This window comes from Homo sapiens, chromosome 17 (genome assembly GCF_000001405.40).
Source record: "Homo sapiens chromosome 17, GRCh38.p14 Primary Assembly".
NCBI classification, from domain to species: domain Eukaryota; kingdom Metazoa; phylum Chordata; class Mammalia; order Primates; family Hominidae; genus Homo; species Homo sapiens.
The window spans coordinates 61874022-61898853 of NC_000017.11; the positions used below are offsets into that span (position 1 = coordinate 61874022).

Below are 24832 nucleotides of genomic sequence, written 5' to 3' on the forward strand. Positions count from 1 at the left end.
CCCCATCTTTATACTATTAGATGAACAAATATTCACCTAAACCCTATGTCCACTCTTCTTTTTTTAAGTTTAAATAAAGCAGTGGGAGTGAAGAGGGAACAAAGAAATCTGTACCTGATTATGATCAATCAGTTGTAAATACCACTGCACTCGAACCAGCCCTAACTCCACTCTTTGAAACATTACCCATGTCCCATCTCCTCTGCATCTTTCCTGAACTTTTAAGAACATTCATTTACCACACCATTCATCTACATGAGCATATTACGTAACTTATCATGTATCTATCTTATGTCCCATGCAAATGATAATCACTTTAAAGGAAAGCCCCTCAACTTATATGTTTTTGATAGTACTTATCATAACAAGTGTGACTCAAAGATTAATGATAGGAATTAACTAAATTCTACCTTTTGAGATGAAGCCACTTGAAAGCAATGCTGAAGTTTAGCAATTGGTAAGGATTTAGAGCCAAATGTGGAATCAATGAAGCTAACATCACTATTGTGCATGCCAAAAAGATCACAGTTTTAACGCAGGTAACGGTTCACAAGAAACCAGTTTTTTAAAAACCTTTTTAATGTGAGAACAGAAATAGTTATTCTTTACTGGTCTAAATTGTGAGAGAGAAAAACCACTATTTGTGGCACCAAAACCAAGAATGGCATTTCTCTAAAGCTAGGTTTTATTAATCACATACTAAATATTAAAATGAATATACATTTCATGAATAAACACAACTAAAAAAATAAGACAAAAAACCGCACAGGTCACACTGCCTACTTATCTGCAAGAAAAATTAAAATATAAGTTTAAACTGAATTTCATCAATTTCTTTTGACTCTCCAAAGTACAGCTCTATAATAAAAATGAAACTCAAATGACATGTACCTGTGAACCCTCTGATCACACCTTAGGACAATGAGAGGATCTATCATCAGGTCATTCTGAGTATACTTTTGTTGTCGTACAAACTTTATTGAAGGCTGAAGTGCATTAACCGTCATTACCCATAGCCTGATAAGAAAATAATCACATGTTCAAAACAGTTTTTTATATATTAAAATCTGTAGCCATCCAGTCCTTTCTATCTTAGAAAGTTATATTCAGTAAATAATTAGAAAATACATATGAATGAACTTTGAAAAAATTTAAGCTACAGACATCTAACCTATTAAAATATCTCTTTAAAAAACACAGAGATAAAACAGTAAACACAAAGTAGTTTCAGAAACGTTCACAGTTGTAATGGAATAATCATGGCATATAAAATTAAAACCTGAGTTAAAACCTTAGTTATACCATACTTGCTATATGACTCTGTGTAAGTCACTGAGGCTCTCTAAACTGTTTCCTCGTCTGTAAAATAGAAATGACATAATACCTGTAAATGAAATAAGACTTGCCAAAACATTCTGTATCTAGTTCCATAAATATAAGTCACTATTCTGGATTTATCATCATAAAGTCTCCAAGTGAGATGCCACTTTGAGATTAGACATTAATAGATTATAAGTGGTTACTAAAATGACTGCACATCATAATTACTAAGGGTTATGCAAATACAGAAGGTACTTGATCTTACAGTGAAGCCCAGGAATCCACCAGAGAACTTCCCCCTCTTAAATATGACTGTATAAACAAGGATCATCAGACACTTAAAGAAAGCTTTTACTTTGAAAAAGATTAAAATATACAAACAGAAAAAAAGGAACTCCAAACAGAAAATGTAGGGATAAGGAGAAAAAAAATTTTCGAACTATTAATATCCTAAAAGAATAAAGTATTTTATACATGAAACAAGAACAAGAGGCATTTAAGAATATTCAGATAACAAAGAGCTCTTAGAATTAAGAAGAACAGGGCCTGACACAGTGGCTCACACCTGTGAAATCCCAGCACTTTGGGAGGCTGAGGCAGAAGGTTCGCTTGAGCCCAGGAGTTCAAGACTAGCCTGGGCAGCATAGTGAGACACCATCTCTACAAAAACTAAAAAAAATTAGGCAGGCACGGGGGTATGCACCTGTAGTCCAGCTATTTGGGAGGCTGAGGCAGAAGGATCGTTTGAGCCCATGAGTTGAGGTTACAGTGAACTATGATTGTGCCACTGCAGTCCAGCCTGGGTGACAAAGCAAGACCCTGTATCTAAAAAGTAAAAATAAAAAATAATTTTTTAAAAAATGAACTAGAATTCCACACTTAGGCTAAATATCAGTCACATATGAGAATAATTCAGCATCTCAAAAAAGTTAAGTTTACCACACTCTCTTTCTCAGGAAGCGAGATGAGTGTGTGTTCCATTCACTAAAACGAGGATATAAACCAAGAAAGAGAAAAATATGGAATCCAACAAAGAAGAGTGACAATAGCAATTTGTCCCAGATGGGAACATGAAGACAGAAAGCTCTGAAAGGAATGTCTCCAAGAAAAAAAAAATAGTGTTTCTTTTGTTTTTTTTTGAGACAGGGTTTCAGTGGCACGATCTCACCTCACTGAAGCCTCCATCTCCTGGGCTCAAGCGATCGTCCTGCCTCAGCCCACCAAGTAGCTGGGAATACAGGCATGCATGCACCACCATGCCCTGCTAATTTTTGTATTTTTTGTAGAGACGGGGTTTCACCATGTTGCCCAAGCTGGTCTTGAACTCCTGAGCTCAGGTGATCCGTCCACCTCGGCCTCCCAAAGTGCTAAGATTACAGGTGTGGGCCAGTGCACCCAGCCAAAAAAATGTTAATGATACATTATCTGATGTGTTATGATTAAGTGTGAAGTAAATTTCCCCTCAATAATGAAGCTTGGGGATGAATTAGTTATTGGTTATTGATACCAATTTAAAAAACTGAGCAAATAGAAAAAAGGTATTAACTAACCCAACATATATGTTGAGTAAGGGGGAGGGCACTTGCATAAGAATGAAATTGTAATTAAAGGATTATCACATAGCTCAATTATGAAACCACTTCTGTAGTCATAATAATATGCATTTGAAATATTGCTTTAACAAAAATTTTAATATACCTGTGTTGTGAGAAACAGGAAAAGGGGCAATGTGTATTAGAAGAAGTGGGACTCACAGGAGTGGAAGCAAGTAAGAGAGCTAACTAACCTTCACCTTGTAGAGTAGAAAGTCAACAGATAATTTCTAAATTGGAAAATCAGGAAATTACAGTCATTATAAGAGATATATGGGGAGGATATAAATACCAGAATAAAAAGATAAAAGAGATGAAAATAGTAGTCTCTGGGGAGCTAAAGTCTAAAATACAAAGGTGTGAGGCAGACCTTATATACTACTTAACTTGTATACTATTTATAGCCCAGTATTCTGTTTTCTAGACCTGTCCAGGTGTTAAGGATCCAATCTATGAACCAGCAGAGACCCAATGACTAAAGACAAACTTTGCTGCACACTGAAATCACCTGGGGAATCTTTTAAAAAGTACTGACGCCTGACTCCCACCCACAAACAGTCTGATTTAATTGGCATGGGTTCCAACCTGGGGATCAGTAGTGGTAAAAACTCTCCAGGTGATTTTAATGTGCAGCAAAACTTGGAACAACTGCAAAGATCCAAGATATAACAGTGATCTAAATCATAATTAGCCACAAATAACTATACATGATAACCCAATTTTCAAGAACTTCCTAAAGTTAGAAATACTGTAAGGTTTCTATTTCAATAAAGTTTGCTTTACTTAAAGATATAACAACTATTTAGTAGTCTTAAGAAAGGAGATATATTGTCATATAGTCAACAAATACTGCTATGAGTGGTGAAAAATTTTTTAAACAATTAAATTTAGGTTATTGTATATTATCCCTGCTATATAATTATCTATTACATGTAACAATACACTGAATTTACCTTCTAGGCATCACAGTATTAAGAACCATCCATAGTTTATTGACTGTTTGCAGAATTCTCCGTGGAACCCCTGAATTCAATAGCTGGCTCATATTGGATGTTAACACTTCCGCATATGGTATAAGTTCACTGGCAGAGAGTAGAGTCAAGTGTTCTATAATCTGCATCACTTGTGTGTTATTTACTGGGACAGCTGAAAATGCTAAAAAGAAAATTTAGCAATCATAACCTAAATTCTGTACAGTTTATCAAGCAGGAAGTAGTAGTGTTCTCTCAGACTATAGACCAAACAAATCAAGAAAACAATGTGGCTAAAAAGTAACTATAGTTACTTGCTATTGTTTCCTACAGAAACCTAGGTACAATTTCAACTAAACTTATTAAAATAAGGGCCAGATGGATGCGGTGGCTCACACCTGTAATCCCAGCACTTTGGGAGGCCAAGGCGGGTGGATCACTTGAGGTCAGGAGTTCGAGATCAGCCTGGCCAACATGGTGAAACCCCTCTCTCTACTAAAAATACAAAAATGAGCCAGGCGTGGTGGCAGGCACCTGTAATCCCAGCTACTTAGGAGACTGAGACAGGAGAATCACTTGAACCCGGAAGGCGGAGATTGCAGGGAGCTGAGATTGCACCAGCGCACTCCAGCCTGGGTGACACAGCAAGACTCCATCTCAAAAAAATAAAAAAATAAGGGCCCTAAGAAAAATTCATGCAAGTGTAGTTGTTCTTTCATAAAGAACAAAAATATTTTTTAAAAATCACATTAATGGGATAGGCATGGTGGCTCACACCTGTAATCTCAGCACTTTGGGAGGCTGAGGTAGGAGGATTGCATGAGTCCAGAAGTTCAAGACCAGTCTGGGCAACATGGCAAGACCACATCTCTACAAAAAGTAAAATAATTAGCTGGATGTGGTGGTGTACCTGTAATACCAGGTACTCGAGAGGAAGATCCCTTATGCCCAGGAGACAGAGTTTGCAGTGAGCTGTGTTCCTGCCACTGCACTCCAACCTTGAGACTGGGCAACAGACCCTGTCTCCAAAAAAAAAAAAAAAAAAAAAAACACTTTACTGACCCGAAGACTAATCTTATTTTCTTGGTGATTCAGACTGATCTTATTTTTTAATTTATTTTTTTTCATTTTAGAGATGGGAGTCTTGCTATGTTGCCCAGGCTGGTCTTTTTTTTTTTTTTTTTTTTTTTTTTTTTCCCTCTTGCCTTTACCAATCAAGAGCCCAGGATGGTTTTGAATTCCCGGCCTCAAGTGATCCTCCTGCTTTGGCCTTCCAAGGTGCTGAGATAACAGGCGTGAGTCACTGTCCAGCCCAGACTGATTTTAAAAACAGGACTGAAAGAGGAAAATATGCTGAAGTATTGCTTTTGATAGCTAACATTTATTTGAAAGGCTCAAACTTGAAACTTTCCTCCAGGTGGTCCCCTTATAGGATGTAAGCACCCAGAAGATTGCTGTTACTAAAAAATATCTAGAACTATGCTCTCCAATAACAACTAACCACATCTGGCTATTGAGCATCTGAAATAACTAGTCCAAATTGAGGTGTGTTATAAGTGTAAAATACACAACAGATTGCAAAGACTAAGTGCAGGAGTCTTAGTGGGGGGTAAAATATCTCATTAAAATTTTAATATTGATTACATGGTGAAATAATATTGGCAGGCCAGGCACGGTGGTTCATGCTTGTAATTCCAGCACTTTGGGAGGCCAAGGCAGGCAGACTGCTTGAGCCCACGAGTTTGAGACCAGCCTGGGCAACATGGCAACCCTTTCTCTACAAAAAATACAAAAAGTAGCTGGGTGTGGTGGCATGTACCTGTAGTCTCAGGTACTGGGGAAGCTGAGGCAGGAGGATTGCTAGAGCATGAGAGGCAATGAGCCAAGATTGCACCACTGCAGTCCAGAGTAGGCAACAGAACAAGGCTCTGTCTCAAAAAAAATAAAGAAAAGAAAAAATATTGGCCATATTTGGTCAAATAAAATGATTATTTAAATTAGTGTTGCCTGTTTCTTTTTCCTGGAAAGTTTATAGGTGTTACAGCTCACATTATATATAGGTGTTATAGCTCACATTATATTTCTATTTAACAGTGCTGATCTAGAAGAACATTCTCCATTACATAGTCCTATTCCACTGCACATATTTCTTTTTTTGACATGGAGTCTCGCTTTGTCACCCAGGCTGGAGTGCAGTGGTGCAACCTTGGCTCACTGCAACCTAGGCCTCCCGGGTTCACACCATTCTCCTGCCTCAGCCTCCCGAGCAGCTGGGACTACAGGCGCCCACGACCACGCCCGGCTAATTTTTTTTTGTATTTTTAGTAGAGACGGGGTTTCACTGTGTTAGGCAGGATGGTCTCAATCTCCTGACCTCATGATCCGCCTGCCTCGGCCTTCCAAAGTGCTGGGATTACAGGCGTGAGCCACCACGCCCGGCCTACACTGCACTTATTTCTAACCAGTTTAGAACCTTTCTAAAACCACACCACCTTTTTAGTGATATAATATAGGACCTATGAGAGAAAAGATACAAGCACATCAGAAAGAAATGGTAAAAATTCCTGGCCAGGCACAGTGGCTCACACCTTAATCCTAGCACTCTGGGAGGCTGAGGCAGGAGGATCACTCAAACTTACAAGTTCGAGACCAGCCTGGGCAACATGGTGAAACCCCATCTCTACAAAAACTAAAAAAATCAGCCAGGCCTGGTGGCTCACACCTGTAGTCCCAGCTACTTGTGGGACTCAGGTAGGAGGACTGCTTGAGCCCAGCAGGTGGAGGCTGCAGTGAGCTGAGATCACGCCACTGCACTCCAGCCTGGGTGACAGAGAGAAAGACACACAAACACAAAAGGAAAGGAAAGGGAAAAGGGGGAAAGGGGGAAAGGAGTAAAAGGGGAAAGGGGGAAAGGAGGAAAGGGGGGAGGGGAAGGGAGCATAAAATTCCTTAAACGCAAAGAGTATTTTATATACTTAAAATACATTCACCAAAACATTGTTATATCCATGGGAAAATTCTGTATGATTATAAGATTTCAATTAGCCTAGCATCTCCTTGTACTACAAAAGGGGTTAAAGGAGTATCAATAATTTACTATACCTTCTTGGAGTTGTTTGGGAGAATGATTTTTAGCATTATTAGTCAGGAGCATTCGCCGTAGCAGGGCATCAGTCCCTGTGATTTCTTCTTCACAAATCCAGTCATCCACAATACATAAATGTGGGTAGTTAGTAGCAAGGAGACGTAGTAAAGCTGAATGCAACCCTTGAAAATTTACAGAAAATCAATTGGATTCTTCATGCTCAAACACCAGAAGCTTCCCCACCCCTCTCATTTTTATCAAGCCATCAGCCCACAAGGAAAGAGGGTTATGCTCTAAGTCAGTGTTTCTCAAAAAATGATTAGATGGCCGGGCGCGGTGGCTCATGCCTGTAATCCCAGCACTTTGGGAAGCCGAGGCGGGTGGATCACCTGAGGTCAGGAGTTCAAGACCAGCCTGGCCAACATGGCAAAACCCCGTATCTACTAAAAATACAAATATTAGCCGGGCGTGTTGTTGGGTGCCTGTAATCCCAGCTACTCAGGAGGCTAAGGCAGGAGAATCACTTGAACCTGGGAGGTAGAAGTTGCAGTGAGCCAGGATCGCAACATTGCACTCCAGCTCAGGCAACGAGCAAAACTCCCGTTCAAAAATAAAAAAAGAATGATTAGAGCACCACCAGCACCATAAGCTTGGGAAGCTTGTTTCATGTGCAGAATAATGAATACCATCCCAGGTACTAGATCAGAAGCTCTAGAATGGAGGCCTAGGAATGTGCACTTCTTGTGCATGCAAACTACAGTTTAAGAACTTCCTGACAGTCATTTGATCAAGGGAAACTGCTTAAATGAAGATCCTGAAGTAATGTGATAAACAGTGAGGTGGGAACTACTACTTATAAAGAAAGCTTTCAACTTTCTTCCACCCCACCCAACATAACAGTCTCCTAAAGTTGTTTGACATAGCAATGGTTCAAGAGTTCAGGGTAGAGGAAAGAAAAGGAGGAGAAAAGAATGTCCATTTGGGGACTATCATATATGGTTTGGAAAAGGTCCTATTCAGAAATACTGATAGGCTTCTGTAGAGAACATGCCCTTTCCTCCAACCCTGTTGAGAATCATCACTATAGATATGGTAAAATTAAAGTTGCCCACTTTGAATACCTGAAAGGTCTCAGGTACTTTATGTACGTTTTCTCATCTCTCCCTAACATTCATACAAAGTAAGCAATGCCTCCATTCTACTGTAAGGAACAAACAATGCTGAAAGACATTTATTAACATTAACAACCCTAAAGTCACACAGTCACATATGTCAGCCAAGAGAAGCAGTACTGATGATACCCACAATGGGGGGCATTTTTTCTTGGTTCAAGAAGTATTAAAGAAGACCAAAAGAAATGGGAAAACTTGTTACCAAATCAAAGCCTTATTTATAACATTTTACCTATACCACAGTTTGACTATTCATGACTATTATGTATAATGTTAATAATGAGAGGCTGTGTGCGGTGGCTCATGCCTGTAATCCCAGCACCTTGGGAGACTGAGGGAGATGGATCACTTGAGGCCAGGAGTTGGAGACCAGCCTGGCCAACATGGGGAAATCCTGTCTCTACTAAAAATACAAAAATTAGCCAGGCGTGGTGGCACACGCCTGTAATCCTGGCTACTTGGGAGGCTGAGGCACAAGAATTGCTTGAACCTGGGACGTGGAGGTTGCAGTGAGCCAAGATCATGCCATTGCACTCCAGCCTGGGTGACAGAGCAAGATGCTGTCTCAAAAAAAATTATGACACCATAAAAATGCCTATTTAGTTAATGAATTAACGAAGTACTACTATGCTAAGTGCTTCACACATAAGTACCTAATAAATATTGTTGCTACCATACTATTATCATCATAACAGTAAGACTACGCAGTAGTAGTAGGAATCAAAGTACTTTAGATCTAATTATCCTTTTATTATGCAAATCAAATGATACCACTGCTTTATCCCAGTAGAAACAATACGCAATTCCGTTCTCATAGAAACAGCTTAAAATTGATGTTTCTGTGTTTGAAAAGACATCGTAACAATCAAAAATGGCATTACTTTAACATTTAAACTTCTAAATGCATACAGGAGTATATATACAGTTAAAACTATACCCAACCATCACAAAAAAGACTGCTTACAAAAGTGTAAACTAATCAACATTTCATACTCTTTTCAATAAAGTATATCAATTGCCAAATGCTGTTAAAAATAACATTATTTTCTGGAAACAGATTATACAAAGAAGCCAGGCACGGTGGCTCACGCCTGTAATACTAACACTTTGGGAGGCTGAGTAGGGCTCTTCACTTGAGGTCAGGAGTTCGAGACTAGCCTAACCAACATGATGAAACCACATCTCTACTTAAAAAAAAAAAAAGATTATACAAAGACATAAGTAAATACATGCTGCAGACATCCGGTTAACGATGAGCAATGAAGGCTCATGTTTCTCCTTGAAACCAACCATAATAAAGAAAAAATTCCGGCCAGGCACAGTGGCTCACGCCTGTAATCCTAGCACTTTGGGAGGCTGACGTGGGTGGATCACCTGAGGTCAGTTCAAGACCAGCCTGGCCAACATGGCGAAATGAGGTCTCCACTAAAAATACAAAAATTTAGCTGGGCATGGTAGCAGGAGCCTGTAGTCCCAGCTACTCGGGAGGCTGAGGCAGGAGAATCACTTGAATCTGGGAGAAGAAAGTTGAAGTGAGCCAAGATCGCACCACAGTACTCCAGCCTGTGAGACAAGAGCGAAACTCCGTCTCAAAAAAAAAAAAAAGAAAAGAAAAAGAAAATTCCAACTTAACAGAAAGAAAAACACCCACACTCAAACATTAAAGAGGTATTTAATTAAGAAAAAATCTCTAGAAAATTAGCTGGGCGTGGTGGCATAGGCCTGTAGTCCCCGCTACTAGAGAGACTGAGGTAGGAGGATGTTTGAGCCCAGGAGTTTGAGGCTGCAGTTACCCACTGCACTCCAGCTTGGATAACGTAGTGAGACCCTTTCCCTAAAGAAAAAAAAAAAGAAAGAAAGAAAAATATCTAATTTCAAAAAACACTACAATATTTCTACTTAACAGGATTTATAGTAAAAATATTACAATATATCCATACTATGGATCATAAAACAATCAGAAACAGTAAGGCAGATCTACCTGTACTGATATGTAAAGATGTTCAAGACTCCAAGAAAAAAAACAAGCCTTAGATGAGGCAGGGGAGGCCGGGCATGGTGGCTCACTCCTGTAATTCCAGCACTTTGGGAGGCCGAGGTGGGCAGATCACTTGAGACCAGGAGTTCAAGACCAGCCTGGGCAACATAGTGAAACCCTGTCTCTACTAAAAATACATAAATTAGACAGGCATGGTGGCGCACATGCCTGTAATCCCAGCTATTTGAGTGGCTGAGGCATGAGAATCACTTGAACCCAGGAGGTGGGGGTTACAGTGAGCCAAGATCATGCCACTGCACTCCAGCCTGGATGACAGAGTGAGCCACTGTCTCAAAAACAAAAACAAACAAACAAACAAAAGAGGTAGTGTACAATACTATTCAGAGTTAAAAAAATTTTTTTTTTTTTACCTCTGTTAAGTGTCTGTTAGGTTCAACCACAAGAACCTGCTGTTTCTGTAGCTCTAAATTAGCTGAATATCTGCAATTTCATACAGTTCAACCTACAGGAGAAAAAAGCCTGAAAATACATATCAACTGAAAATAGCTAGGGTTGCGTTTTAGGGGGCAGGCTGGTTTGCAATAACTGAAATAATAGATTTAGTGAGGGAGGCAAAGAGGAATTTCACTCTTGAACTGTTTGAATTTTTAACATTAAGCACCTATTACACTTCATAACATTATAAACAGAAAGGTTTTTTAACAATAAACTTTAGCAGTAAAAAGCAAAATAAAACATACCTCCCAACTCCTGCTGCAGCCCTTGAGCCTGTCGAATAAGGAATTTGATAGGAATCTGATCCATTAAAGAAGAAGAATATGATTTGGGCTTTCTTTGCATGGCAGCTATCAAAGATAAAAAGTGTAAAATAAATAAAATGTCCAGAAACAACAGAAATCTTAACCTTCAACCCAAATGGAAACAAAAACAAAGTCAAATTACTTTTAATGCAATTAACCTGCGAATATAGCATATAAAAGATGAAGAATCATTACGAAAACAAGTGGCTACACAGGAAGAACAAGAACATACCTGGAGCAAGATCTGGAAAATGTCCTGAAATTTAAAACTAGACAGAAGAAAATTCATAACAGGTTGAGAGAAGCCATGTGCAAAAGTGCCCTACACTAAAAGAACCAACAAGTGAGTCAAGATTTTCCAAAACCTAATGACAAGATCAAATGTGATCATGAACATATGGCCTAGAGCTTCATGATTCCAATGCATCTTATAAAAAGAAACTGTAATTTTATCTTTTTTTTTTTTTTTTTGAGACGGAGTCTCACTCTTTTTGCCCAGGCTAGAGTGCAGTGGCACGATCTCAGCTCACTGCAACCTCCGCTTCCCGGGTTCAAGCGATTCTCCCGCCTCAGCCTCTCAAGTAGATTGGCTGGGATAACAGGCATCCACCACCATGCCTGGCTAATTTTTGTATTTTTAGTAGAGACAGCATTTTGCAATGTTGGCCAGGCTGGTCTCTAATTCCTGAACTCAGGGGGATCTAGCCTGCCTCGGCCTCCCAAATTGCTGGGATTACAGGCGTGAGTCACTGGGCCCGGCCAATTTTTTTTTTTTTTTTTTTTTTTTGAGACAGAGTCTCGCTCTGTCACCAGGCTGGAGTGCAGTGGCGCGATCTTGGCTCACTGCAAACTCTGCCTCCCAGGTTCAAGTGATTCTCCTGCCTCAGCCTCCTGAGTAGCTGGGATTACAAGCGCCCACCACCACGCCCATCTAATTTTTTGTATTATTAGTAAAGATGGGGTTTCACTGTGTTAGCCAGGATGGTCTCGATCTCCTGACCTCATGATCCACCCGCCTTGGCCTCCCAAACTGCTGGGATTACAGGCATGAGCCACAGTGAATTTTATCATATTATATACAATAGTGGTGACTAAATCTTTTTTTTTCCCTGAGATGAGTCACTCTGTCACCCAGGCTGGTATGCAGTGGTTCAATCTTGGCTCACTGCAACCTCTGCCTCCTGGATTCAAACAATTCTTGTGCCTCAGCCTCCCAAGTAGCTGAGACTACAGGTGCCCGCCACCACGCCTAGCTAATGTTTGCATTTTTAGTAGAGACGGGGTTTCGCCATATTGGCCAGGCTGGTCTCAAACTCCTGACCTCAGGTGATCCACCAGCCCCAGCATTCCAAAGTACAGGCGTGAGCCATCATATCTGGCCTCTTTTTAAATTAAGTCAGGCAATACGAATTTGACTTCCTTCTCTCACAACTCCTACCCTCAACCAGCCATGTCCAACCTTTTTTTCTTCTAAGTCCATTTTAATTTCTGTACTTTTGCTGCTATCCTAATTCAGTGCCTACTCACCTTTTGTTTAAATATCTTCTATGGCCCACTTTCCCTGCCTCCAATTTAATCCATCCTTCAACCTGCGGCCATAGTCATCTTATTTAAATAGAGATTTGGCCACCTTCAGTGAATCCTCAGATCACACAGAGTAAAGGTCCTTGCCAGTCAATAGTATCTTTCTCTGTCTCATCTCTACTGCATTCTATATGCCTGGCACCCAAAGCTCATTCCAAGGTACTTTCCTTTACACCACAGGAATATATGAGAATCTCAATCAGGGTGTTTGTAATTTCACAAAGGATGTACAATGTGTTTATTCTCTTACAAACTACAAACAGTAAAGCTCAACCATTTTTCTTTTATTAAGGACAAGAAGTATGTAAGTGCAAGTGTTAGAATAAAGGTTGAGAATCACTGTCTATATAGACCACATATATACCATATACTCTCATTTAGATATAATCTCCCTTTTAAGTTAATAAATTAGCATAGTTTTCCATACCAATCTTTTATGAATTAAGAAAAAATCAGAAGGCAGTTAAAACAATAGTTATAGGTTCCAGAAAGAGATAAATCCTGGTTCCAATACTTATTACAATACTTAATACTAACTTAGGGAAGTTACTTAACTTCCTTGTGCCTCAGTGTTCTCCCCTGTAAAATAAACGTAACCACACCTATCTCAGAATTGTTATGAGGGTTTACATGAGTTAACTATAAGACTAAAGTAAGGCCAGGCAAAGTGGCTCACACCTGTAATCCCAGCACTTTGGGAGGCCAAGGTGGGTGGATGACTTGAGGTCAGAAGGTCGAGACCAGCCTCACCAACATGGTAAAACCCATTCTCTACTAAAAATACAAAATTCAGTGGGGCGTGTTAGTGGGCACCTGTAATCCCAGCTACTCAGGAGTCCGAGGCAGGAGAATCACTGGAACCCGGGAGGTGGAGGTTGCAGTGAGCTGAGATCGTGCCACTGCACTCTAGCCTGGGCAACACAACAAGACTCTGTCTCAAAAAAAAAAAAAAAAAAAGACTATATGTGCACGATTAAAAAGCAAAAAATTATTTCAGGTTCCTAGATAGGAAGACTTAGTACTGCAAAGACGTAAATTCTCTCCAAATTAATCTATAAGTTTAACATAATTCTTATCAAAATCCCAACATAATTTTCATTTGTGAAATTTAACAAAATTATTATAAAGTTCATGGAAAAGATTAAATATGTGAGAATATACAGAAATTCCAAACAAGAACTGTATCAAAGACACAGAAAATGTCAAAACATAAAAAAGAAAATCCAGGCCGGGTGTGATGGCTCACACCTGTAATCCCAGCACTTTGAGAGGCTGAGGTGTGTGGATCACTTGAGGTCAGGAGTTCGAGACCAGCCTGGCCAGTATGATGAAACTCCATCTCTACTACAAATACAAAAATTAGCCAGGAATGTGGTACGCACCTGTAATCCCAGCTATTCAGGAGGCTGAAGCAGAAGAATCGTTTGAACCTGAGAGGCGGAGGTTGCAGTGAGCCAAGATCGCACCACTGCATTCCAGCCTGGGTGACAGAGTGAGATTTTGTCTCAAAAAAAAAAGAAAAACAAATTAAAAACTACACACAAAGGTCAGGAGGATCACTCACACCTGTAATCCCAGCACTTTGGGAGGCCAAGCCAGGAGGACTGCTCGAGCCCAGGAGTTTGAGATCAGCCTGGCAACATGGCAAATCCCATCTCTACAAAAAATAAAAAAAATCAGCCAGGCATGGTGGTGTCCACCTGTGGTCCCAGCTACACTGGAGGCTGAGGCAGGGATCCCTTGAGCCCAAGAGATCAAGGCTACACTGAGCCATGTTCATGCCACTGCACTCCAGCCTGGGTGACAGAGTGAGACCCTGTCTCAAAAAATAAATAGATGAAATGAACTATACACATGTAGGAAGTATAAACACAGGTAAACCTTCTTTTTCAAATACAGGAAAAGATACCACTTTATAATGATATCATGCATGCTAAATCTGACCTTCTGATATTATGTGAAGTAACTAAGTTTCAAAGCCCATTTCAGTGACATTCTCTGTGTGCGTGTGTGTGCGTGCGTGTGTGTGTGTGTGTGTGTGTGTGTGGAGATGGGCATCTTGCTGTTTTCCAGGCTGGTGTCAAACTCTGAGCACAAGTGACCATCCCATCTCAGCCTCCCAAAGTACCAAAGTACTGAGATTACAGGGAATGAGCTACCATACCCAGCCCAATGTTAACGGCAAAACGAAACTCTTCGGCCAGGCGCAGTGGCTCACGCCTGTAATCCCAGCACTTTGGGAGGCCGAGGCAGGCGGATCACGAGGTTAGGAGATGAAGACCATCCTGGCTAACATGGTGAAACCCCATCTTTACTAAAAATACAAAAAAATTAGCCGGGCGTCGTAGCAGGCGCCTGTAGTCCCAGCTACGCCGGAGGCTGAGGCAGGAGAATGGCATGAACTCAGGAAGTGGAGCTTGCAGTGAGCCAAGATCATGCCACTGCACTCTAGGCTGGGCAACAGAGCAAGACTGTCAAAAACAAAAAACAAAAAACAAAAAACAAAAAACAAACCAAAACAAAACAAAAAAAAAGAAACTCTTCTACTTTTTTTTTTTTTTGAGACACAGTCTCACTCTGTCCACCAGGCTGGAGTGCAGTGGCGCAATCTCAGCTCACTGCAACTTCCGCCTCTGGGTTCAAGGGATTCTCCTGCCTCAACCTCCTGAGTAGCTGGGATTACAGGCATGAGCCACCACACCTGGCTAATTTTTGTATTTTTAGTAGAGACGGGGTTTCGCCATGTTGACCAGGCTGGTCTCGAACTCCTGACCTCAGGTGATCCGCCCACCTCGGCCTCCCGAAGTGCTAGGATTACAGGCGTAAGCCACCTCGACTGGCCTTTTCTATTGTTTTTGATTAGGTTGTTACTCTTTACACTAATGGAAGGAAGACCGGTCAAAGACTCAACTCAAATCAAGAGAAAAAAATTCAGTTACAGCTCCATCAGGTGTTAAATTTATATTTAGTGAACAAGACCTATACAATTGTTAAAATACAGGCAATTCTGTTATCTATTAATTTAGCCTCTGATAAGGAGGACTGGGCCATAAATCGTGGTTACATACCCCAACATACATGATTTATGTATCAAGTATACAATGCCCACATTGCAAAGATTATAAAATGATACTAGAGTTTATTAAAATATTGCCCTTATCAAAGAACAGTTTGGAAAGTAACAAAATACAAGCTAATAAAATAAACTACCACTAGAACCACTCCTCTACGTACAACTTACCTAAAGTCTTCGTGTTTGCTAGAAGAGCCTCTTCATAAGACAGTATATAGTAGAGCACCAAAAGCTGTGCTGTGATACTGAAACGCTGATTAAGGCGGATGTTGTCACCCTGGAGGTAATATTACAAATACTCTGAAATACTCTGAATTTCACGAGTGCTTTTTTTTTTCTTGATAGTAAAAGAATCAAAATAGACTATTCAGCATTGCTGCTCCTAACTCAGGTAAAACAGGAGAAATGTTGCTGTGTGTGTATTAAACTCAAAAAAACAACATGAAATCTGAGATGGCATGAGAGATGAAAGGCAACATGCTTAAGTGGTCTTTAAGATAAGACAAAGAAAAGACTTCAGCTACTACTCAATAGCAAACCCATCAGGCTGCTTCTGAAAGACAGGAGTCCCAAGTATTATATGAAATTACCATGAAAAAAGTAACTCCTAAATAAGACATTGTATACTTAAATATATTTGTGAAAAATGCAACTGTTTTTCCCTTCTAACAAACTGGGGAAAAAATACTTTCATCAAATTTTCCCTGAATGAGCCAGGAGCAGTGGCTCATACCTGTAATCCCAGCACTTTGGGAGGCTGAGGCAGGCAGATCACCTGAGGTCACGAGTTGGAGACCAGCTGGCCAACATAGTAAAACCCTGTCTCTACTAAAAATATAAAAATTAGCCAGGCGTGGTGGCAGGTGCCTGTAATCCCTGCTACTCGAGAGGCTGAGGCATGAGAATCACTTGAACCCAGGAGGCAGAGTTTGCAGTAAGCTGAGATCGTGTCACTGCACTCCGGTCGGGGCAACAGAGTGAGACTCTGTCTCAAAAAAAAAAAAAAAAATCCCCCTAAATGAATGTAGGTGTATCTTAGATTCCCAGGATGCTAAACAAACCTATGCTGAATATCTTGATATCCCACACAGTACTTGATCAAATACACAATCTCCAGGGAACCCATTAGACTTTAAAGTGAAGCTTAAAAAAAAAAAAATTACTGGCCAGGCGCAGTGGCTCACACCTGTAATCCCAGCACTTTGGGAGGCCAAGGCAGGAGGATCACTTGAGGTCAGGAGTTTGAGACCAGCCTACTCAGGAGGCTGAAGCAGGAGAATCGCTTGAACCCAGGAAGCGGAGGTTGTAGTGAGCCGAGACTGCCCATTGCACTCCAGCCTGGGTGTCACAGCAAGACTCCAGTCTCAAAAAAAAAAAAAAAAAAAAAAAAAAAAGGCCAGGCACAGTGACTCACACCTGTAATCCCAGCACTTTGGGAGGCTGAGGCAGGTAGATCACCTGAGGTCAGGAGTTCGAGATCAGCCTGGCCAACATGGTGAAACCCTGTCTCTACTAAAAATACAAAACATTAGCCAGGCGTTGTGGCAGGCGCCTGCAATCCTAGCTACTCGAGAGACTGAGGCAGGAGAATCACTTGAACCCGGCAGACAGAGGTTGCAGGGAGGAGGAGGTTGCAGTGAGCTGAGATCGCGCCACTGCACTCCAGCCTAGGCAACAAGAGTAAAACTCCATCTCAAAAAAAAAAGTGCCTGTTTAGCAAACTACTTGGAACTAATACCATTCTTTTAATTTTTAGAGGTGATCTAAGGAAATTTAATCTAATTTTAAATTCAGAACTACCTAGAAGTCCTCTGATAGGAAAATAAAAATATGGGTTAAGTAAGAAGAACTAAAAGAAAAATAAGTTAATAGATATAAAAGAACCACTATTTTACCCCAATGACTCCTTGGAAAATATTGAGTATCTCCTGTTCTGTGACTGGCTGATTTGTGGCTTCTGGATTAGATTTCGACGCAGGAGTAAGTATAGAATTTATGTACACATCAATCAAAGGAAGTAATTGAGGATGAAGTGGAGTAGAGGTTTCACACAGCTGTCTATAAATCCAATCCTAAGAAAGAATGTTATAGACACTGAATTAATTGTGGCAAAAAGAAAAACCAAGCAAAATTATAAAAGTACATACAGTTTTACATGAATTATGAATCAGTAAAACTCACTATTAACTTTTGGCAGTTCCAAATATATTATCTAGTATCATAACTGCCTTTGATTTTAAAATATGAACTACCATTATATCTGTATCATCTTAGGTGCACCCTCCACTAGAAGCTTGCCTTTCGGTTTAATCTATTAGTTTTTAAGTAGTGGGAAAAACATTTTAAGTCCCTACCATATCTGTATTTAGAGCACCATGTGTGTCGTCATGGGAGAGCTCACGTTAGATAGGAATTTGGAGAGAGAGAGATAGGTCCTTCACAGCAAACCCTCAGATAGACTAAGAAAATGTCTCTGAAAAGCACTTACAGGAGACTTATCACTTAACTATCATTGGATGGAGGACATGTAAAATGTTGGGGGTGCATGTGAACTCTTAATTCTTAGCTATTTTACTTGCTAAAAATATAAAGCAGATGATGCAATCTGGCTGGAAAATAATCTCACTAAATCACAAAAAACAAGCAACAATTAAAAAGTGATATATCATGCATATATTATTCACTGTTCTTTGTAAATATCTGAAAAAGTTTCAGTCTACTTTACCTCCTGGGTCTTAATACCTTCTCTTTAGAGGGCCTTTTAACTTGTTAGATATAGCCAACTAAGACAAATCAAAACATGTCAAAATTCTAAGTTAGGTGTGAGGTGTCCTTATGACAAATCAACAAATACTAGTCATGGCAGCTTCCCCAATTTGTAAAACAAAACCAGGCCCACTGCAGTGGCTCATGCCTGTAATCCCAACACTTCGGGAGGCCGAAGTAGGAGAATTGCTTGAGACCAGGAGTTCAAGACCAGACCAGCCTGGGCAAAATAGCGAGACCCTGTCTCTACAAAAAAACACTTTTTAAAGCCAGGTATGAGGCCAGGCACGGTGGTTCATGCCTGTAATCCCAGCACTTTGGGAGGCCGAGGTGGGTGGATCACGTGAGGTCAGGAGTTTGAGACCAGCCTGGCCAACATGGTGAAACCCTGTCTCTACTAAAAATTAAAAAAAAAAAAAAATTAGCCAGGCATGGTGGCAGGAGCCTGTAATACCAGCTACTCAGGAGGCGGAAGCAGGGGAATCACTTGAACCCAGGAGGCGGAGGTTGCAGTGAGCTGAGATAGCACCACTGCACTCCAGCTTGGGCAACAAAGTGAGACTCCATCTCAAAAAAAAAAAAAAAAAAAAAAAGCCAGGAGTGGTGGCTCGCACCTGTAGTTCCAGCTACTTAGGAGGCTGTGGCAGGAGGACTGCTTGAGCCCAGGAGTTTGAGGTTACAGTGAGCTATGACAGCCTGGGCGACAGAGTGAGACCCTGTCTTTAAAATTAAAAAAAAAAATTAGAAAATGGCAGTTTCTAAGTTTTAATAAAATAGCCATGTGCCACTATTGAGAATTTAAATGGAGTATTATGCATTTTGAAAATCTTACATTGTTTTAAAAATCTGAAATTACTGTATAATTATATAATTATAATTACTATCCCTAATTACTATACTTATATAAATGACTAGTAACTTAGCTTAATACCACACATTTCCTACACAAAACCCACAATAAATGCCTACAAACTGAAATACAACTGGGGAGAAAGCATTAATTTAGGTTGTTCTTTGAAATATAAATGTAGGCCAGGCACAGTGGCTCACGCCTGTAATCCCAGCACTTTGGTCGGTTGAGACAGGCATATCACTTGAGGTCAGGAGTTCGACACCAGCCAGCCAACACGGTGAAACCCTGTCTCTACTAAAAATACAAAAATTAGCCGGGCATGGTGGCACACACCTGTAGTCCCAGCTACCTGGGAGGTTGAGGCAGGAGAATCACTTTAACCCAGGAGGCAGAGGTTACAGTGAGCCAAGACTGCACCACTGCACTCCAACCTGGGTGACTGAGCAAGACTCCATCTCAAAAGAAAAAAAATATATATATAAAAATGTAGGGGCATGCTTTTATTTTGTTTTATTTGTAGGGGCATACTTTTATTGACACTTTGTGCTTGGTAAAGGAACGGCTCCTGAGAAGCTGGTAAATACAATGAATAGGCAAAAATCCAGTAATGTTGGCACTCAGGTTGCTGGTGACAGGGACCCGAACTGCATGAGCTGTGACAACCTAAAAGGGAAAAATAGCATTAGTAATATAATAGAACTAAATATAAAATTATTTTGAAAGAGAGATTAGTAAGTAGACTGTCAACACCTAATACAAGTGTGGTCCCTAGAAATGAATGATGAAAATAAATTATTACATGTTTTAATTGTCTTTGAATGCTGAGGAAATGTACATTTAGGGATTTATATAATTCCCTAATTTTTTGTTTATAAACATAGATACATACACAGTGGTGTGATAAGGTAAAAAAATAAAATAAAATTTTGAAGCATACAATCTGGGCTCAATGACTTTGAAGAAGTCATTTATCTTCTGAATCTTTTTCACATCTACAAAACAGGACACTGCCATACCTGCCTCAAAGCATTGTTATGGGGGGAAAATATTCTTTTTGGAAAAACATCATATGAACTATAAAGCACCACATAAATATAAACAGAAATATTTATTCTCAATATGTCATGCATAGGCTCTAATCGTCTTTTAAAGACCCTCTTCAAAGTTGTCTTCCAATTGGTTCAAATTTAAAGACAAAAAATAACTTATGATTCTCCCACATGCTGTGTGACTACTTGTAATTCAGGAGTATATGTGCATATGCGTGTTGAGGGTGGGAGGGATAGTAAAATATAGAAATAAAGATATTAATAGCCACAAAAAAGCAACAACTGGCCGGGTGCAGTGGCTCATGCCTGTAACCCCAGCACTCTGGGAGGCTGAGGTGGGTGGATCACCTGAGGTCAGGAGTTCAAGACCAGCCTGGTCAACGTGGTAAAACCCCATCTCTACTAAAAATACAAAAATTAGGCGTGGTGGTGTGCACCTCTAATCCTAGCTACTTGGGAGGCTGAGGCAGGAGAATTGCTCCAACCCAGGAGGCAGAGGTTGCAGTAAGCTATGACCATACCACTGTATACTAGCCTGGGTGACAAAGTGAGATAAAAAAAAAAAAGAAATGAAAAAAATCCTTATGCTTATCCATGGACAAAAGTGCTAAGGCTAAAGAAGAACATGTTAAGTATAAGAAATTTAGACTCTAGCCTGTAATCTAGTTAGAAATGAATTTTACAGCCTAAAGGTTTAAATAGGACTTCATTTTATCTTTCTCCAGACACATTAAAACAATTACCCCTTGAGATGCCCTACCAGCAACATCTAAGAGTATTCTCCTAAGTATCTACTCAAAGTCTCCAAAAATACATAAATTCAAAAGATGCCTTGGTATGTTATGACTAGTTTTAAAAGTGTATTTTAAATGGATTATTCTTTAAGAAAGTTTCAAAGATGAAATAAATCATCATGAGTTTAAAAAGAAAAAAGACCATATTATTTTCTTAAGGTAAGACACACAAGTTTTCTCCCAAAGAATATTGTAAAAGAAAGTTAAATAAGTACCTAAGAATAAAAAGAAATACCTGCTCAGTAAAAATTTCCTGTGTGAAGATTGTCTTCATCCTGCTCAAGGAGCTTGGCTTAATTACAATCTAAAATTACCAAAAGAATTCCAACAGCATGTAAAAATATATGAAACACAATTTATTCTAGGGAACTTATCTAAAATGGCTATGATACACATAAATGTTCAAATGTTCAAGTACTCTACTCTGTTTTAGAAGTGCTTTCCCAAACCCAACATTAAAGTGTTAATACTCAAAAACAGAACCAATATAAAAAGCACTTAATAAATACTATTATTGGCATTTTCAGTCGGTTGGGGGAAACAGATTATTTACTACATGGAGCTAGGATAGCTGCCCCTCTGTGAGGCCAAGAGAAATATGTGTGTGTGTGTATGTGTGTGTCTGTGTCTGTATATACGCACATATACACACACAAATATATGTATATATGTATATGTACAGATAGACACACATACACTTTTTGCACATATCACACCATACACCAAAAGAAACTCCAAGTAGATTAAAATGTTCAAATGTAAAACATGAAACCACCAAAAAAAACTAGAAGAAAATATAAGTGACCACTTATATAAACCCAAGAAAGGAAAACATTTCTAAGCATAAGAGCAAAATAGAAAACACAAAAAGAACATTTACAGCCAGGTGCAGTGGTTCACGCCTGTAATCCCAGCACTTTGGGAGGCCGAGGAGGGCAGATCACAAGGTCAGGAGATCGACACCATCCTGGCTAACACAGTGAAACCCCATCTCTACTAAAAATACAAAAATTAGCCGGGCGTGGCGGTATGTGCCTGTAGTCCCAGCTGCTGGGGAGGCTGAGGCAGGAGAATGGCATGAACCTGGGAGACGGAGCTTGCAGTGAGCCGAGATCGCACCACTGCACTCTAGCCTGGGCGACAGAGCAAGACTCCATCTCAAAAAAAAAAAACAAAAAAAAAACATTTAATATACTACATAAAAATAATAATGATAATAATTTCCACATGGCGAAGTTAAATGGCAAAAAATACTGGAAAAAGTCAATTATAACATATTGAACTCTCCACTTTTAAAGATACTATAAGATATGTCACTGATTTAATATTACAGTAGCTTTTCAAGAAAAAAGTAGGAGTTGGAACACTACCACTTTCATATTACATGTCAACTGTAAAATGAATCCCAATTTCAATACTGGGTAAAATATACGTCTTGAAATATATGAAGTAAGATGTATAAGGCATAATGACATATCTTTCCTTTTGAATCAGTGAAAGAAAAAAATAAATCAAAGTCCCTACAGGAAAATTAGGATACTGATCAGCTTTTCACAAAAGAAATAAACAAGCCAAAACACATAAATTTTAAATACTAAGTTTCACTAGTAATCAAAGAAATTCAAACTAAGTGATACCACTGTTCATCAACCAAATTTGCAAAGATTAAAAAAAAATAGTAATGCTCAGTCATGTTGAAAGTTTAGAAAAACAGTAGTTCTTACTAACGGTAAGAGTTAAACTGATACAATCTTTCGAAAAGATAATCTGACAGTACTCATGAAACACCTTAACATAGTCATACACTTTTCCTTAGCAATTACCTTCTAGAAATTTATCCTAAGAAAATAATCCAACAGGTGTATGAAGAGATACATGTGGGTGCCTATGTGTGTATTTACATAAACAAGGACATTCCTCTAAGCATTATACAGAAACTAGAAAATCTACATGGGAAATAATAAGGGACCTATTAAGAAGATCAAACAATGGACTATAAGACAATGCAGTCATTAAAAATTATACTGTATTATAATATTTATTGATATGAGTAAATGCTCATCATATATTAATTTTTTTAAATCATCAAATATGTACGTCACTTTAAAGAAAGAACAGACATCAGAATATTAATAGTAGTATACTAGGTATCTCTGAATCATGGAATTATAAGATATCTTTCCCTTTTCTGTGCTTTCCAAGGTTTTTGCATGAGTATCTATTATTTTAGTAAATACAGGTTTCAAAATGCATTTTTCTAAGCGCTCTTGATAAAACTTCTATTAAACAATTAAAATTACTTAAATGAAAACAATCTATTTACACTACAACAAAATGTCCAGCTTAGAAACACCTTTTTTTTTTTAGAAAGAAGTTAAAAGAAAATTACCTTCATCCCCAAAGTGGAACAGACCAAGTCAATGATAGCACTAAGCTGGTTGCTGTGAAAGTACATAGCCACCAATAATAACATCTCCCCAAAAGAAGCAGAGACGCCTGAAGTACTGTCAAAACAAAATAGGAAATATGAATTTTCCAAAGAGAGAAGAAGAAAAGCTTTCTCAACTAACTAAATCAAATTATCTTACCTCTCAAAATACGCTTCTTCTTTTATCATCCAACTTAGCCACACCACCATCAGCTGCTCCTGTTCAGGTGTACTATATAAAATATACCAGAATGTCACTGGTTTAAATTAGATATACTAGCATATGAATAAAAAGCATTCTGAAGTTATTTTTGGTAGAAATTATTTTTCCTGCCCTATTTTCAAGTATCAAGTCAAATTAAAGGCTTGCTGAATTGGGCCATTAATTGTCATTGAGGTATGAAGTAATTCTAGAGCTCAAGAATGAGGACCTTTGCTTTTTTTCATGGATCCCCTCTCAAAGTCTTAGTTACTGCCTTCACAGGTTGGAAAGAGTAAGATTCTTCACATTCCTTAGAAAACAAAGGCCCCTTGGGATTAACTTGTTAAAACAACTACACAACAGCTGATATTTATTTCATATAGAAAAAAATCTAGTGTTAACACTTAAGCATCAAAATATCACAAACTGAGTGCCAAACAGTAATGAGCAGTCCATCTTCTGGAAAAATGAAATTTAATTTATAGAAACCTTATGAGTAGATCTCAAAGTTACAGAGAAATAAATGATCACTAATCATGGGAAAAAAGGCAGTCACAGGCTTACCAGATATGAAAAATGGCTATAAAAATACGACTTTTCTTTGAGACAATGTCTTGCTCTGTCGCCCAGGCTGGAGTGCAGTGGCGCAATCATAGCTCACTATAGCCTCGACCACCCAAGCTCAAGTGATCCTCCCACCTCAGCCTCCCAAGTAGTTGGGACTACAGGCATGCGCTACTGCATCCAGCTAATATTTTTTATTTTTAGTAGAGGGGAGGTCTCACTATGTTGCCCAGTCTGGTCTTGAACTCTCGAGCTCAAGTGATACGCCTGCCTAAGCCTCCCAAAGTGCTGGAATTACAGAGGTGAGCCACCATGCCTAGCCTAACAATGACTTTTTAAAGGGAATTCCTAAATTCTGAGATGGAGTTTCACTCTCGTTGCTCAGGCTGGAGTGCAGCAGCGCAATCTCAGCTCACTGCAACCTCCGCCTCCCGGGTTCAAGCGATTCTCCTACCTCAGCCTCCCGAATAGCTGGGATTACAGGTGTCTGCCACCACACCTGGCTAATTTTTCTATTTTTAGTAGAGATGGGGTTTCACCCTGTTGGCCAGGTTGGTCTTGAACTCCTGATTTCAGGTGA

At 39.4% G+C, this 24832-nt stretch overlaps 1 protein-coding gene across 4 annotated transcripts in view; it reads right to left on the reverse strand.

The window, feature by feature from the left end:
• Positions 1-24832, reverse strand: part of INTS2 (integrator complex subunit 2) — a 62616-nt gene that overhangs the window by 8655 nt on the left and 29129 nt on the right. For 3 of the 4 annotated variants that reach the window (NM_020748.4, NM_001330417.2, NM_001351695.2), the window contains exons 10-19: positions 23647-23718; positions 23448-23562; positions 21294-21362; positions 19744-19878; positions 17492-17668; positions 15765-15873; positions 10880-10984; positions 6986-7150; positions 3866-4067; positions 892-1017 (exon numbers count right to left, since the gene is read on the reverse strand). In NM_020748.4, the coding sequence (NP_065799.2) occupies positions 892-1017; positions 3866-4067; positions 6986-7150; positions 10880-10984; positions 15765-15873; positions 17492-17668; positions 19744-19878; positions 21294-21362; positions 23448-23562; positions 23647-23718 (1275 nt within the window). Of the gene's footprint in view, positions 1-891; positions 1018-3865; positions 4068-6985; positions 7151-10549; positions 10642-10879; positions 10985-15764; positions 15874-17491; positions 17669-19743; positions 19879-21293; positions 21363-23447; positions 23563-23646; positions 23719-24832 lie in introns of those variants that run through there. The other variant, XR_934509.3, reaches the window with a different exon arrangement.